Raw genomic sequence first — 14,808 nt, forward strand, 5'->3', positions numbered from 1 at the left:
GCAGCCGGGCCTGGTTGTTCCAGTACTTATGCCCCTAATTGGTTTAGAGGTCATAGAGTTCCCGCAAGGACAGGAGAGGAAAAGTCTGCTGGGGGCTCCTGGGAATGGTTTCCCAGCTCTTAAGGGAGATGCAGAGGAGGTGGCTTCTCCTCCTGCACACTGCTGTGTCCTTTACTCCAAAGCTGAGCAGCTTATGGGGGCTGAGGGTGCTGGGGTGCAGGGTTGGGGGGCTCTCAGTGTGACGCACGGTGGTCAGGGTCAGTCTCCAGAGGAGACACTGGAGCAAAGACTGGAATTCGGCAGGGAGTTCATCATACAGGTATCTGGGGGAAGGAATGGCTGGAGTGCAGGCCCGGAGGTGAGTGTGGGCCTGGCAGTTCTGGGGAGCAGGAAGGAGGCCAGTGTGGCCTAGAGGGAGTCGCGAGGGGAGACTAGAAGGAGATGGGACCACATGGGGCCATGGGGATGCCATAAGGAGGCCATGGGGAGGACTTAAGAGAGGGTGGTGAATTCTGACCTACAGGTCAGCACAGTCCCTCTGTGTTTAAACTGGGTGTGTGGCGTGGGGGAAGGGCGGGAGGCTGCGGGGATACTGCTGATAACCTAGCAGCGAGATGGCGGGGCTCAGACTCAGGGTTCTCCGCAGAGGCGGTGAGGAAAGGTCAGAGTCTGGAAATGCTCTCGAGGTGGATTTCATGGAAATGTGGATGTGGGCAGCAGACACAGAGAGGAGCTAAGGATGACTCTGAGGGTTTGGGGCTGTGCTTGTGGGAGGAGGAAGCTGTCACCAACTGATGGGGAAGATTACTGGGTCCGTGCAGCTTTGGGACGGGTGTGGAGGTCAGGTGTGAAGTCTGAAATTGTCACACACCACGGGAGACAGTGAGAAAGCAGCTGGGGCCGGACTCTGCGTTGAGAATCGAGAACTGGAGGCAGGCATTTGGCAGTGGCCAGCACCTAGCCCTGAGACTGGAGGGGGTTGTCAAGTGGGAGAGGGTAGGCAGAGGGGAGAAGAGGGCCAAGGCCTGGCCCTGGGGCACCTCAACATGAGGAGGTGCAGAGGAGGGTGACAGGGGAGGCTTGTGAGGAAGGCGGCCCAAGCCATCCGGTCCTGCAGCCACGTCAGGAAGGGACGTCCAGGAGGAGGGGAGGTCAAGTGTGTCCACCGCAGCTGATGGTCAAGTACAGCGAGGCTGGGAGCCAGCCATGGGATGGTGCCACGTGGCAGTTGCTGCTGGCCGCTGAAAAGTGGTTTGGCGGGAGTGGAGGGAGGAAGCCGGATTCGGGGAGTCAAAGAGAGAATGAGAGGAAATGGAAATGGTGGGGATGCACAACTCGCGGTTCAAGTTTTGCTGCAAAAGGGAGCGGCATCGTGGAGCCATATCTGGGGGGAGAAGTCATGGGAAGGATTTCAAGGCAGGAGGTGGAGTGTGTGAGTGTGTGAGAGTGTGAGTGTGGGGGAGTGTGTGAGTGCATGGGAGTATTGTGTATGAGTGTGTGAGAGTGTGTGGGGGAGTGTGTGAGTGCATGGGAGTATTGTGTATGAGTGTGTGAGAGTGAGTGTGTGACAGAGTACATGGGAGTGCATATGAGTGTGTGAGTGTATGAGTGTGTATATGAGTGTGCGAGTGGGAAGTGTGTGGAGTGCAAGTGTGTGGGAGAGTGTGTGTATGAGTATGTGAGAGTGTAAGGGGACTGAGTGTGTGGGAGTGTGATTGTGTGTGAGAGTGTATGAGTGTGTGTATGAGTGTGTGTGAGTGGGGACTGAGTGGGAGAGTGTGTGTATGAGTGTGTAAGAGTGGGGGACTGTGTGGAGTGTGATTATGTGAGTGTGTGTGTATGAGTGTGTGTGTATAAGTGTGTGAGTATGAGTTGGGACTGAGTGGGAGAGTGTATATGAGTGTGTGAGAGTGGGGGACTGTGTGTGGGAGTGTGTGAGTGTGTGTATGTGAGTGTGAATGTGTATGTGTGTGAGTGCGTATGAGTGTGTGAATGTGTATGTGTGTGAATGAGTGTGCATGAGTGTGAGAGACTGTGTGAGTGCTGATGGCTGTGGCCCAGGCGAGGGGGAAGAGCTGAGCCCAAGGGGGCCTGTGCCCGGTGTGTGTGATAAAGTGAGAGCAGGGAGAGAGGGGTGAGGGGCCCACAGGGAGCAAGGACAATGCTTGGCCAGATGACGAAACTGAGATTGAACCCAGACAGTCTGGCCCCAGGGCCAACCTGTGACGGCTGCATAGACACAAAGCAGGCAAGTCCCCGCATGTGACAAACGGCCAGGAGAGACGCTTTGGGGGACTGGAGGGAGCAACGCAGTGTGTGGAAAGGGGCGATAGGGCCACCCTGGGCATCAGGAAGGCCTCTCTGAGGAGGCGACGTTCAAGCTGAGCCCGACAGGGTGCAGGAGCAGTCCTGTGAGAAGGTGCCAGCAAAGGAAGGAACGGGGGACACAGGCAGCGGCACCGGGAGCCTCTCTGCCCCCCTGGCTGGTGGCCGAGGCCCTTCCTGAGCCCTGGGTGAGGGGCTCTGTGCCCTTCCATCTATGGCTCCTTATCTGTAGCCTGTGCTCTGCGGGCCACTTGCTCCCCTGGCTTATCTATTTCTGCCTGGTGCTCTGTGCGCGGAGCCCAGTGTGGTGGCAGATTGGCTGCTTATCATCAAGGGCACTGTTCTCAGGCTCGGCTCCTGAGGGGACATTAAAAAAAACCCCAATACATTATTAATAATTGTCTCCATCATTCCTGTGCCTAATTAGGAAAGGAAAATTATGAATCGGGCTTATGTCTCTTGGTGGGGGCAGCCTCAGCTTTTCCCGGTGCAAGGGAGGGTCTGGGTGGAGGCTGGGGCAGGAGCCGGGAACAGCAGGACACTGCCTGATAGAATTAATTACGCTTCTGGTAGCGACTGGAGAACACGTCCCCCTTGTTTTTGCCCAAATAGCCCTCTTTGTTAGACTCCTTAAGGCAAGGCCTTGTTACTCAACAGCATCTACTCTCTTTTAGTAGCTGCATTCCACCCTTTTTCTGTCCTGGCCCTTGGTCCCCTCCCCAGATCTGCCAGGCCTTCTGTTCCCACCAGGGCTGCAGACGCACGGCTGCGCAGAAGGTCCGCATACTTGCCAGCTTTAGGGCAGCCCAGTGCCTTTGAGAAGCAACGAGAGGGGGCCACATGCAGAACTGTGCCCACCCACCCTCGCTGCCTTGATGACTCCTCCTCATTCAGCTGCGAATCCACTCACTGATTCGCTCAATACACATCTGTTAAGAGCCTGCTGTGTGCCATGCACCATGCTAGCACTGGGGACAGGATGGACCCTGTCCTCATGACGCTTATAATCTACTGGAAATTGGACATTCATTAAATCATCACCAAGTAAATGCAGACTGATTCCCAGCTCACCGAGACACTTAACTACATGTGACTTTGGTAACAACAACAGGAAGCTGACAAACAAAAATGAGAATGACTTGACATGGAGAGCCAGTGTGAGCTGACTGAACGTAATGAGCTCATCTTTGCTTGTGAGAGCTCGTGACCTTGGGAAGGGAGAATGCTCCCAATGGTATATATTAAACGCCCAGCAGAGCCCCAGCACCTAGTTGATGCTCAATAGATTGCTTTCTCTCATGGGGGCACTTAATTAACAGGTGATGAGGCTGGGTGCAGTGGCTCACACCTGTAATCCCAGCACTTTGGGAGGCCAAGGCAGGAGGATAGCTTGAGCCCAGGAGTCTGTGACCAGCCTGGGCAACATAGCAAGACAGAAAGTTAAAAAATTAGCTGGGATAAGTAAGCTGGGTGCAGTGGCTCATGCCTGTAATCCCAGCATTTTGGGAGGCCTAGGCGGGCAGATCACCCAAGGTCAGGAGTTCGAGACCAGCCTAGCTAATATGGTGAAACCCTATCTCTACTAAAAATACAAAAAAGTAGCCAGGTATGGTGGCACATGCCTGTAGTCCCTGCTACTTGGGAGGCTGAGGCAGGAGAAACAGAATCGCTTGAGCCCGGGAGGCAGAGGTTGCAGTGTGCCGAGATCGTGCCACTGCACCGTAGCCTGGGAGATACAGTGAGACTCCGTCTAAAAAAAAAAATTTGCTGGGATAGTGAGACAAAAAATAGTGCGACAAAAAATTTTAAAATTATCTGGGCATGGTGCTGCACACCTGTAGTCCCAGCTACTTGGGACTTGCACTGGGAGGCTGAGGCAAGAGGATGGCTTGAGCCCAGGAGTTTGAGGCTGCAGTGAGCTATGATGATGCCACTGCATTCTAGCCTGGGTGACAGAGCAAGACCCTGTCTCAAAACAAACATGACGGGGCCCTCATGAATGCTTCATCAGGTAGAACGTGCTCTGTCTAATTTGTTGTAATCACTTTGCAGAGGGGTTCAGGGTCAACTTAGACCAGTGGTTGACACTGATCTGAAGGCCAAATCTGGCCCACCACCTGTTTTATAAATAAAGTTTTACTGAAACACAGACACACCTATTTGTTTACACCTTGTCCATGGAAGTCTGTATGGCCTGCAGAGCCTAAGATACACTATCTCGCCTTTTACAGAAAGTTTTTTTACCCCTAATTTAGAGGAGTCTTAACCTGAGATTCTTAGACAAGCTTAGAAGAGTGGTCTGAAAGTGTCCTGAAATTATACCACAAATTTGTATTTTGCAAGTAAACAACCCACTCCTTCCGTATTATTTTTAGAAAGGCCCTTTACCCCAAATGTCACACCAAGGCCTAGGTGGAAGTCTCTGGGCATGGGGCACAGGGCTCCATCTTGCCTCGGAGTTTTCATGGTGACAATGTGGTCAGAAAGCAAAGCACAGCAGAAAGACAGGCACAAATTTGGATCCTGACTTGGCCACACCATACCCACTAAGAAACCCCCAGACAAAGCACTTACATTTTACAAGCCTCAGTTTCCCATCGTCAAAGGGTGACAACATTCCCTGGAAGGCTCGGGGGAGCTGCTTCCCACCTGCTGGCCGGGACGCAGGGACTCTGCTCTGGAGGCAGAAAAGCGTCACCTGAAGCTACACGTCTGACTTTTCGGGCACCTGCAGCCCTTCTTCAGGGTCTGCACTAGGGCTGCCAGGGTGGCTATGCACAAGGTGGGGAGCCCAGGAAGTGAAGTCCCATGCCCTGCAGAGCATCCTCCACCAGTAACTGACAGGTGCTAAGTGTGACAGCCTGGCTGGGGACAACTATAGGCTGAAATTGCCTTTGCAGGACTTGGCCTGAGATGGTGCTTTCACTCGGCTTCCCCCCTGCTCCACCCTACCACTTCCGTTGCCTCCTCAGTCTCTCCTGGGGAGCACTTCATTTAAAAATTCTTGCGTTAGGGTCTGAGGACAGGTTCCACATCAGGAACCCCAGACATGAGGTTACCAAGATGCTGAAAGCTCCTGGCCTCCTTCTAAAGCATCAAACAAGAGATGAAATTATATCCCAATGAGATGCATGTGAACTTTCCACATTCTAGATGACTCCTTCCCAGGACCACCCTTTGCTAGTCTCTGGACAGAGCCTAAGTCCTGTTTAAAAGGGTCCTGTAGGGTTAAGCTAAGAATGATTTGAGTCCAAGTTGGGACCAAAAAGGGATGATGACACGGCTGAGAAGAATCACTGCTGCTCAGTTGGTCTTTGTTAAAAAAGGAATAAACCTGAAATGTCTGTGGCTCTGGGACAAAACCATACGTAGTATTGAAGAAAACAATATCCGTATTGACAGTCCAGAGCTGTGTTGTCTAATACAGTAGCCACCAGCCACATGTGGCTACTTAAATTTAAACTCCTTAAAATTAGATACATCAAGAATTCAGTTCCTCTGTTGCACTGGCCATATTTTAAGTGCTCAATAGCTACACGTGGTTAATGGCTACTATTTCGCACAGCACAGACCTAGATCATTTCCACCATCGCAGAAAGTGTATTGGGCCGTCCAGAGTGTTGGGAGGTGGGATGCTCGCTTCTCTTTCCAGAAAGGCAGCCAGGAGCCGTTTTCTTACCCTACTGAAAGCAAATGGAGACAGCCACCCGGATCCTGCCAGTGCTACCTACTTTCAAAGCACATTTTCCTTAGATTCTTTTATTTGATTCTCAGATCCCTCCCCCTCAAACAGGCAAGGCAGGTATCATTAGAACTATTTATAGATAAGGAAACTGAGGGTTCCGAAGGTCAAAGAAGCAAAGTCACAGAGCTGCGAGTAAAGTCACAGTCAGGGCTTGGGAGACCGCAGGAGGGAGACCCCCCCGCCCCCGGCAAGCCAACGCTCTGCTGAGCTGGAAACATGCCAGGTCATATTCCAACCCCACGCGGGGCCCCTCACTCCCTCTCTCTTTCAGCAGCCACGTGGCTTGTTGAGTGGAACACCTGAATCTAAAAAGTACTAAGTACTCACTATATCTTCCTGAAAATAACAAGCAGAGGGCTGCCCCGGCTCCAGCCTCCTCAATGGGCAGTTGGGCCACTGTGGTGAAACAGGGCCAGGCCCCAGGCCCACGAGAACTCCACCAGTGCAATATCCAAAGACAATTTCTGTGACGCTGGCTTGTCCAAGGATAGGGCACACCGAGACTTGGGCAGGTTTGGCAGCCAGCTCCTGCCTGGAAATTGAGTTCTCTGTCTGGACAAGCAGCCCAGTCTGAAGATCCGGGGCACGCAACCTGGGTTATGGCACTGTCATCGAAGCCCTTTGGACATCTGCAAGTCACTTCACCTCTCTGGACATCAAATGCCCATCTGCCCAATGGGAGTGGTGACCTTGGGCTAGGGCAGGGATCCTCAACATCGACATCGTGGACAATTTGGACTGGATAGTTCTTTATGGTTGGGGCTGTCCTGTGCACCATAGAATGCCTCGCAGCATCCCTGGCCTCTACCCACTACATGCCAGTAGCACCCCTCCCCCAGCTGCGATGACCAGATGTCCCCTGGGAAACTAAGAGAGCCACAGGGCTGGAAGATGGCCAGGGCTCTTTCCTGGCTTCTGCACTTGGTGGAGACTGATGCGTCCAACACAGGCACAGCCAACAGTGCCTGACTTGGCCTCCCAAGTGCACTGCACCAATCCCAGCCAATTGAAGGAGTTAAACTGGATGGCCTTCCAGCTGGGACATTCTGAGATTCCAAGCCAACTGCCTTCAGGATGACCCCTGGCTACTCAGAGGCTGTGCAGTGGAACTGTCTGTAACAGGGTCCAAGAAGAAGCCAAGGCATTATTTCCAAGGCATCCATAATTCTCTCTGCCAAGTCCAGAGACAATGGGCCTTTGCCACCCACGGTCCAGTTCATTCTAAATCTGAGAACAAGGAACCCATTCACTCTTGGGAGGGGCAGATGGTACAGGGATAGGGGGTAGGCCAACATCTCTTCCAGGAAATGGTGGCCTCTGGCCTTCTCTGATTGCTGGCAGGGATGACACAGAAACTTGGGAGCAGGGAGCAGGCGCTGCTTCTATGGCCTTATTTTTCTCTGGTGGAAGCAGGGGGCAAAAACCAATGGATGTTGCTCACTGACCCAGCTAGCAGAACCTCGCCATCTTTCCCAGGCAGAAGGCCCGACAACAGAGCTTTCCCAAAGGCCACTGGAGACCCACCCTTGCCTAAGTGGAGAGATGATGCTGCCCCCTTTGTGGAGAGGACTCCTTTGATAATGGAAGGAAGGTGTAGGTGAGCAGGGCAACTTTGACCTATTCCAGGCAGAACAGCTCCCAGTTAAAGTGCACGCTGCCAAACCCCCGGAAACACGAAATCCCACAATGTGAACCAGGAACTGCCTTTCCCTTCATAACAGATGCTATGATGGCGATTTACACAGAGTCACGGGCACCGTTGCTTATGTTCATGCAAAAGGCCACCCCTCTGGGCTGGGCCTGCTGTGCTGTCTCTGAGCCTTCGCTAGGGTTTGTTTGTTACTTGCCATCTGCTGGCAAATGAGCAAATGCTTAAGGTTTCAGAAAATTTTATGGAGGAAAATATTTATATTAAAGGATGTTCACTTGCTTAATAAAAACGTGATGATAAGAGTTGCTAAGCACTTGTCATGCACCTTGCCCAGGTGACATCTGATTTAAGTTTCCTGATCCATCAGGAGCTGTGGGTGTCACTGTCCCCCTTGACTGAAGTGAGAACAAGCTCAACGAAGAGCTTGTGGAGCTCTTCACAATCCCAATTGTGGAGTTGGGATTCTGGGACAATCTGACCCCAAAGTCCATCTTCTTTCTATCATGTCCCACTGCAAACCAGGCAGAGACCACTGCTACTAGATTTTTAGCAGCAGTGCCTTGGTCCAGCATAAAAGATTTTAACATTGCCTAGGGGGGCCATGGTGGGGGGGGCCTTGACCTCTGTCCTCTGGTCCCCGCCTTCTCCAGCCCTCTATCCATCCCTCCCTAGGGCAGACAGCAAGACTAAACTCAACCGAAGAGACTGTGATAGGTGAGCAAGACCAGAGAGGGCAAAGCTGGCCACACCCACACCTTGGATCATAGGAGGGAGGGAAAAGGGAATTAAACTTCTCGGCAAGGGAGAAATGTATATCATTTTCAGGACAAGTTCTTCCCCTTTAATTCCTTACAGTCATGAGCTCCCAGAGCACATTATTTCAAAATCCAGTGGACATTGAGCCCCTCAAGAACCCAGTCACTGCCACCCACTCTTTATTTTTCATGACAGCCGGCCATGCAGCTCACCATAATCGACTGTTCCATCACCTTACTTTGACAGGGACATGAATGGGGTCTCAGAGGTGAGGGCTGCGTCATACAGACAGGGTGACGCTTCAGAAACCAGCCACGTCCACCTGCTTTAGAAAACCAAAGTTACCAGAAGCAAGCGCCACAGCAGCTGAGGCCTTTGGGAAGGCACGGCTGGCTTGGCTCCTCACCAGGAAGTGAGGTGAGGTCTCGAAAGCTCTCTGGGAACTGACATTCCCAATTCTGGACTCTCCTGAACCATAAAATATAACCAATAACCTGGAAGGTTCTAGAAACATCCAGAAGCTGGTCAGTGGGGGAAAAAAACCCGAGGCCTAAGAGTTAGCTCAGGTGCTCCCTCCCCAGAGGCAACCATTGGAGGAGGTAACCGATTCCCATGTATCTTTCAAGATGATGTGTGTGTGTGTGTATATATGTATCCTGAGTGCGAGCACCCTGCACACGCCGGGATGCTATGACTGTGAGATGCAGTGCACATTCCACTTGTTACCTGTGGCAATGCTTTCACATCGGTGTGATGGGGGCCACCTTCTTTTTTTTACGAGCTGAATGGATGTACCACAATTTACCTCACCAGTTCAGGAGAGGCTGTTTTTCAGATGTAGGACTCCAACCCTTTATTGGTAATTTCCTAACCCAAAAAGCAGTTTGATGCCAAAACTAACTGAGTAGGAAAACCAGAGCCGAGTAGGAATGGGGTTCTTTGTGGTCTTGGTTCATCTCACTTAGTGTGAATGGCTACATATTTCACTAGAGAAATATCGTTGGGCACTGGACTGCCTGGTGGTGTTACTTCATCTATGGTCTATACATGGTACTACTTTGCTAAAATTTGAAATATTCCGATTTCCAGAACACACCCAGACAAGGCATGTACAGCCCTTTTCCAGTACTTCTGGTAGCTGGAGACGTGGAAAACCAGACATGATGGGCTCCTGTGGCCTTGGACCTTGGCCCAAATCCACTGTGGAGACAATTCAGCATCCCTCCCACCCCCCAGAGCCAACCCACAAGGGTAATGAGAACCCAGCATTGTACCCACGAGTGCCTGGCGAGGTGAGGAAGGGCTCGCCATGCACCCCAGAGAGCAGAGATTACTCCAGCGGTTCCGTGGCCCTACTCTTCCCCACCCGAAGCTCTTCTCCCACACGCAGCTGCCTCTTCTCTCCTTCTCTCCCTCCCTAGCCTCGTGCTGTCTGCAATCCAGGTTGAGAGCCCTGTGAGATGCCAATTTTTAAAAGACAATAGAGAAATCTGGATTTTTTTTTAAGTCTGGGTCTTGCTATGTTGTCCAGGCTGGTCAACTCCTGGCCTCAAGTGATCTTCCAGGCTTGGCCACCCAAAGCATTGAGATTCCAGGTGTGAGCCACCTTGCCTGGCCTAAGATAAGAAATATCTTTGATTTTAAATACCATTTCTTTTCTTTTTTTAAACACTGGGCGTGGCTCATTAGTGCAGTATCTAATGGCTGCCACTGCTGGACTTCTGAGGGGCAGTGGCCCAGGCTGTGGCCTCAGACATGGATTGATTTTAATCTATCATCTCTCTGGGAATAAAGGAGGGAAATGAAGCTGTCATCCTAAAAAATGGAAAGTAAAAAATAAATGCAGCCTTCTTAGGTCCTGGGGCTGTCCTCTGCCTCTCCCTGGCTTGCCCGGGCGTCTTACCCGAGGGTGGGCAGGAGGAAAGGTCCTATAGCTCCTGGCCCCGGACCCCGACCCCGCCCCGGCCCTATCGATGCTCTTCCCCACAAATTGATCAGTCCCATGCCTTCAAGTCCCAGCCAGATGCCAACTACTCTCATGTGTACAGCATCGGCCCCAGCACGTCCCCCAGCCCCCTGACTTCCATATCCAGCTGCGACTCAGTGTCTCCACTGGGGTGGTCCACAGGCCGGCTCTGGGTTCCCTGTCCAAAACCAACCTTCATCTTTCCCCTGCCCCTCTCCTCCCCCAATCCTCCATTCACCCAGCTGCTCAGTTCAGGAACCCGGGTCTTTCGGACAAGCCTTCCCTTAGCCCTCCCTCTGTTCAATCCAGCAGCAAGTCCCCTTCAAACGTGTCCTCCACAGCAGCCTCTGGGCCAGTCTCTCTGCCTGCCCTCCACGGTACCCAGGGGGTTCTTTGTAAAGTGAAGTGAGATCCTATTACATTCCCGCTCAGTGTCCTTCAAAGGCTTCTTACCAGAGATAGAAGAAAACCCAACCTTTTTATCATGGCCTTTGCGAAATATTTCTCCCATTTGGGTCACTCAAGTCTAAACCCTTGTAGGGAAGAATCTAGAAAGTTTCCAAGCAGTGACAGAACTGTCAGAGCCAGCACGCAGTGGGAACACTTCCAAGTGGGGATGGAGAAATTGTGAGACGTGGGTTTAAAAAAAGGAAGGAAGGAAGGAAGGAAGGAAGGAAAGAAGGAAGGAAGGAAGGGAGTCCTCTTACTTAATGGCTGCCCCTCTGACACGGCCGCACTTGAGAACCATCAGCCACCACCACCAGCTCGAGCTCACACTCCCGCCGATCCGTTCCCTTCGGAGGGATGGGAGGGATGAGCGGCTCTATGGACACGTCAGAGCCGGCTAATCCCACAGGGTTTAAGTGGCCCACAGAAAGCATCTCAGATTAGTTGAATAAAAAGATAAACTGCTTTGCTGCTTATAAGGACCAGAATGTTCTCAGAGATGGGAAGAAAATCCTTCATGTATTTCTGACTGTGAAGGAGTCCAGGGTTCCGGCCTGGGGTGGGGGCTGGAGGGAGGGGGCTTCGCCCAGCAATTGGTCTGTGGTTGAAGGCCACGTGGTGACAGCTGGCCTCTTCCTTGTGTGGAGTCGTTCAAGCTCTCTGAGTCTGTGCAGTGGGCTGAGTGGTGGGCTTTGTCTTGGTGGGAACATAAGTTTAGTGGAAATGGGGAAAAAAAGGAATGAAGGGAGAGGAAACGGAGGGAAATATTTTAAAATCTCAAAAGCAGGAAGATAAACCTGGTAGCTCTTAATGCCATTCGATTCTGCTATGTTTAGGCCAAGAACTTGAAGAGAACCCTGTGTGTGAAGGAGGGAGCCTCTCCTCACTTCTAAGAGGAACACATGACGGACACTGTTGGTGTCCACCCACAGGTTCCCTTCGCGGGGAGCCGATGATGCTTTGATGGGGGGCCTAGGAGGCTGCTCTTGGCCTCAAGGCAGAACTTCCTTTGTGAGGCTTCTCACTCCAGAGATACGGGGGGGTTCCCATGGAACATTCCAGCTGAAACCACGCCCTGGCTCATTCCTTCACTTTCCTGTCCTGCCTCCCTCGCTTCCTTACAGCTTCCTCCTGGGTACACCCCTGTCTCAGCTCAGCTTACTCGGCTCTGCCACTAGGGAACCAACCAAAGACAGGATGGCCAATGAAGTCTTGACACACATCAAGTCTTTAAAGACGCGGCCTAAATATGAGCAGCTGACCACATAAGATGACAAAAAAGTTCCAGTGAAATATTGACATTTGGCTGGGTGTGGTGGCTCAGGCCTGTAATCCTAGCACTTTGGGAGGCCGAGGCAAGCAGATCACTTGAGGTCAGGAGTTCAAGACCAGCCTGGACAACATGGCAAAACCCCATCTCTACTAAAAATACAAAAATTATTTTTAATTTTTGTATTTAAATGGTGGTGTGCACCTGTAATCCCAGCTACTTGGGAGGCTGAGGCACGAAAATTGCTTGAACCTGGGAGGTGGAGGTTGCAGTGAGCCAAGATTGCACCACTGCACTCCAGCGTGGGCAACAGAGCAAGACTCTCAAAAAAAAAAAAAAAAAAGAAAAAGAAAAAGAAAAAGAAATAATCGACATTCAAAAGCAAAGAGTAGAACAAAAGCCCTGATGAAGGACACAGACACTCTTGTCTTCCAGCCACTTAGAATGTCAGTAGCCACCAATGTGGAGTCCCTGGATCAACTCAATGTGCCACCTATTTCCTAAGTGTACCATGAGCAAAGCATTGTGCAATGGACTCTGTGGGGTGGGTTCAGGGATGATGAGGGCCCACTGTCTACCCTCCAGAGGCCTGCATGTTGGTGGGGTCATCAAAGACCACCAAAGACAATCGGCAATGCTACCTGCCCGCTCTCTGTGGGCTTGGCCTGGGTTTTGAATATTTTGCATCTCTCTGTTGTTGGCAGGTAGTAGGTGTTCAGTAAATGGTTCACAAGTGAATCTGGAATAGCCCAAAACTATCATACAGCAGTGAAACAGAACCATCAAAACAGACAGCTGTCGCTTTCCATGATAGCAACGGGGGTCACTGAATTTTCCAAAAATGGAAAGAATCAACTCTCCGCAGGGCACGAGGTTAGGACTTGAAGTCTGGCTGCTTGGAAAGGAGGCTTGAGGGCTAAGCAGTTGCTCAGCGGGTCTCTATTGGCTTATGGGGAGGGACAGTTCTCTGTTGTGTGAAACTGTCCCTGCAGTTGCATGACATTTCTCATCCCTGGCTCCTGCCCAGTAAATGCCGGTAGTGCTTACTCCCTAGTCACTGTGGCAACCAAAACCTAGACACCCCCATTTCCAAATGCATCCTAGGGGGTGTTTCTACCCCTGACTGAAAACCACTGGTGGGATAAAATCTGCTCAAGGTGAGAAAGGGAAGGAGAGCGAAGGGCGGGGCGGGGGGCAGTCCATGCATATATGTGTGTGCGCGTGCATGTGTGCGTGTGCATGTGTGTGTGCGTGTGTGTGCATGTGTATTGTGTGTGCATGCACGTGGGAGGAGTCACGTCAACTTGCAAAAAAGAGAGCATGACGGAGAGGGCTAGAGAGGGAGGGGAGGGAAAGGAGAAAGAACACCTATGATGAGAAGCCTCCCTGAGTGTTCCAGGACGCTTTGCATTTCCAGCACAGACGGAGCTTAGAATCTCCTCAGCCCAGCCATTCTCCTGGTGGAGTGAGAAGGCAAGTGGCAGCTCTGTCCCCGGGAGCCCCACAGACCAGCGAGAGCAAGCAGTGGGGAGGGGGAGGTGTCCCTGGCAGAGGAGCTTCTAGGAAGGACGTGGTGTTCACCACCCTGCCCTGCTTGGCAGAGGCCCCGGCCTGGACATCACAGTCTGGAAGCTTCCCAGACAGGCTGGCCTGAGACACTTGAACCTTTACTGGGCTCCTCCTCCAGGGGCCGAAGGGCAGCACAGATGCCACAGCCAGGTCACAGCCGGTGCTGACAAGCTGCAGGAAGGCCCTTGCCACAGGGCAACAGCTGCCGTCCCCGAGGGCTGCCTGACCATATTTAGACAGGAGCAGACGGAGAGGCAGCATAAATCAAGCCCCACAGCCTGGGCTGCCAGGGGGAACAAAACAAGGCAACGTCTTGGCACAATCTTTGAAATCAGTGGTTGCCACAGTGAGGAACCGAACACAGACACACACATGAGCGGGGAACTCGGCCTCCTTCCCATCTCCGTGAGATTCATTGTCCTACCTCGACTAACTCAGCTGCTCAGAAACCTTTAGATCTTCCAGAATCACAGCCAGACTCCTCTGCCCATCCACCCTGAGACAGTTCCCACTCCTGTTACCTCCCCTAAGTGGGACTGTACTGAGGTTCCCCAAAACCTCCTATACCACCCGTCTTCGTGAATGCCATTTCTTCTACCTGGAGCATCTCCTCCACCCACCCTTCCACCCCTCCCTATTCTGCTCTTCAGAGTCCTAACTTTCTCGGAGGCAGAGTTTAGTGCCACCTCCTCCAGGCAGCCATCCCTGATGGCTCACGGCCCATCTACAGCACTTGGTGCCCATTGAATTCCCTGCTGGCTGACAGCTTCTTATCCCCTCTTGCCTGGCTGGTGAGCTCCACCAGAGCAGGGAGCAGCTCTCACTCATCCTTGGCTGCTCCACCCAGCACCTGGTGCACAGGAGGTGCTCAGTACACACTAGCTGGGTCAATCAATGGCCTTGCTGGCAGATGGCCCCAGGGCCACCAAACTCTTAGCAAACACTTGTTGGCCTCACTTTCTCATCTTCCTTCACACTACATCTGGCACCTATCACCTCTCTCCCCCTCCATTGCTGCCCCAGTCCAGCCCACCACTTCTACCACCTTGACAACATCTATAGCTTCTTGACTGGTCTGT

At 52.1% G+C, this 14,808-nt stretch overlaps 1 protein-coding gene across 3 annotated transcripts in view, besides 2 other annotated features; it reads right to left on the reverse strand.

Annotated features, from left to right (window-relative positions):
* The window catches only part of PRIMA1 (proline rich membrane anchor 1), a 70,697-nt gene that overhangs the window by 27,812 nt on the left and 28,077 nt on the right, over positions 1-14,808 (reverse strand). The window lies entirely within an intron of this gene.
* Positions 2,658-3,531: an enhancer, noted in NCBI's record as "H3K4me1 hESC enhancer chr14:94215113-94215986 (GRCh37/hg19 assembly coordinates)". NCBI's record gives its function as "activates a minimal SCP1, AML or CMV promoter by ChIP-STARR-seq in naive H9 embryonic stem cells {active_cell/tissue: H9 hESC(naive)}" and the evidence as "EXISTENCE:reporter gene assay evidence [ECO:0000049][PMID:30033119]".
* Positions 13,728-14,228: an enhancer, noted in NCBI's record as "H3K4me1 hESC enhancer chr14:94226183-94226683 (GRCh37/hg19 assembly coordinates)". NCBI's record gives its function as "activates a minimal SCP1, AML or CMV promoter by ChIP-STARR-seq in naive H9 embryonic stem cells {active_cell/tissue: H9 hESC(naive)}" and the evidence as "EXISTENCE:reporter gene assay evidence [ECO:0000049][PMID:30033119]".

This window comes from Homo sapiens, chromosome 14, assembly GCF_000001405.40.
Source record: "Homo sapiens chromosome 14, GRCh38.p14 Primary Assembly".
Lineage (NCBI taxonomy): Eukaryota > Metazoa > Chordata > Mammalia > Primates > Hominidae > Homo > Homo sapiens.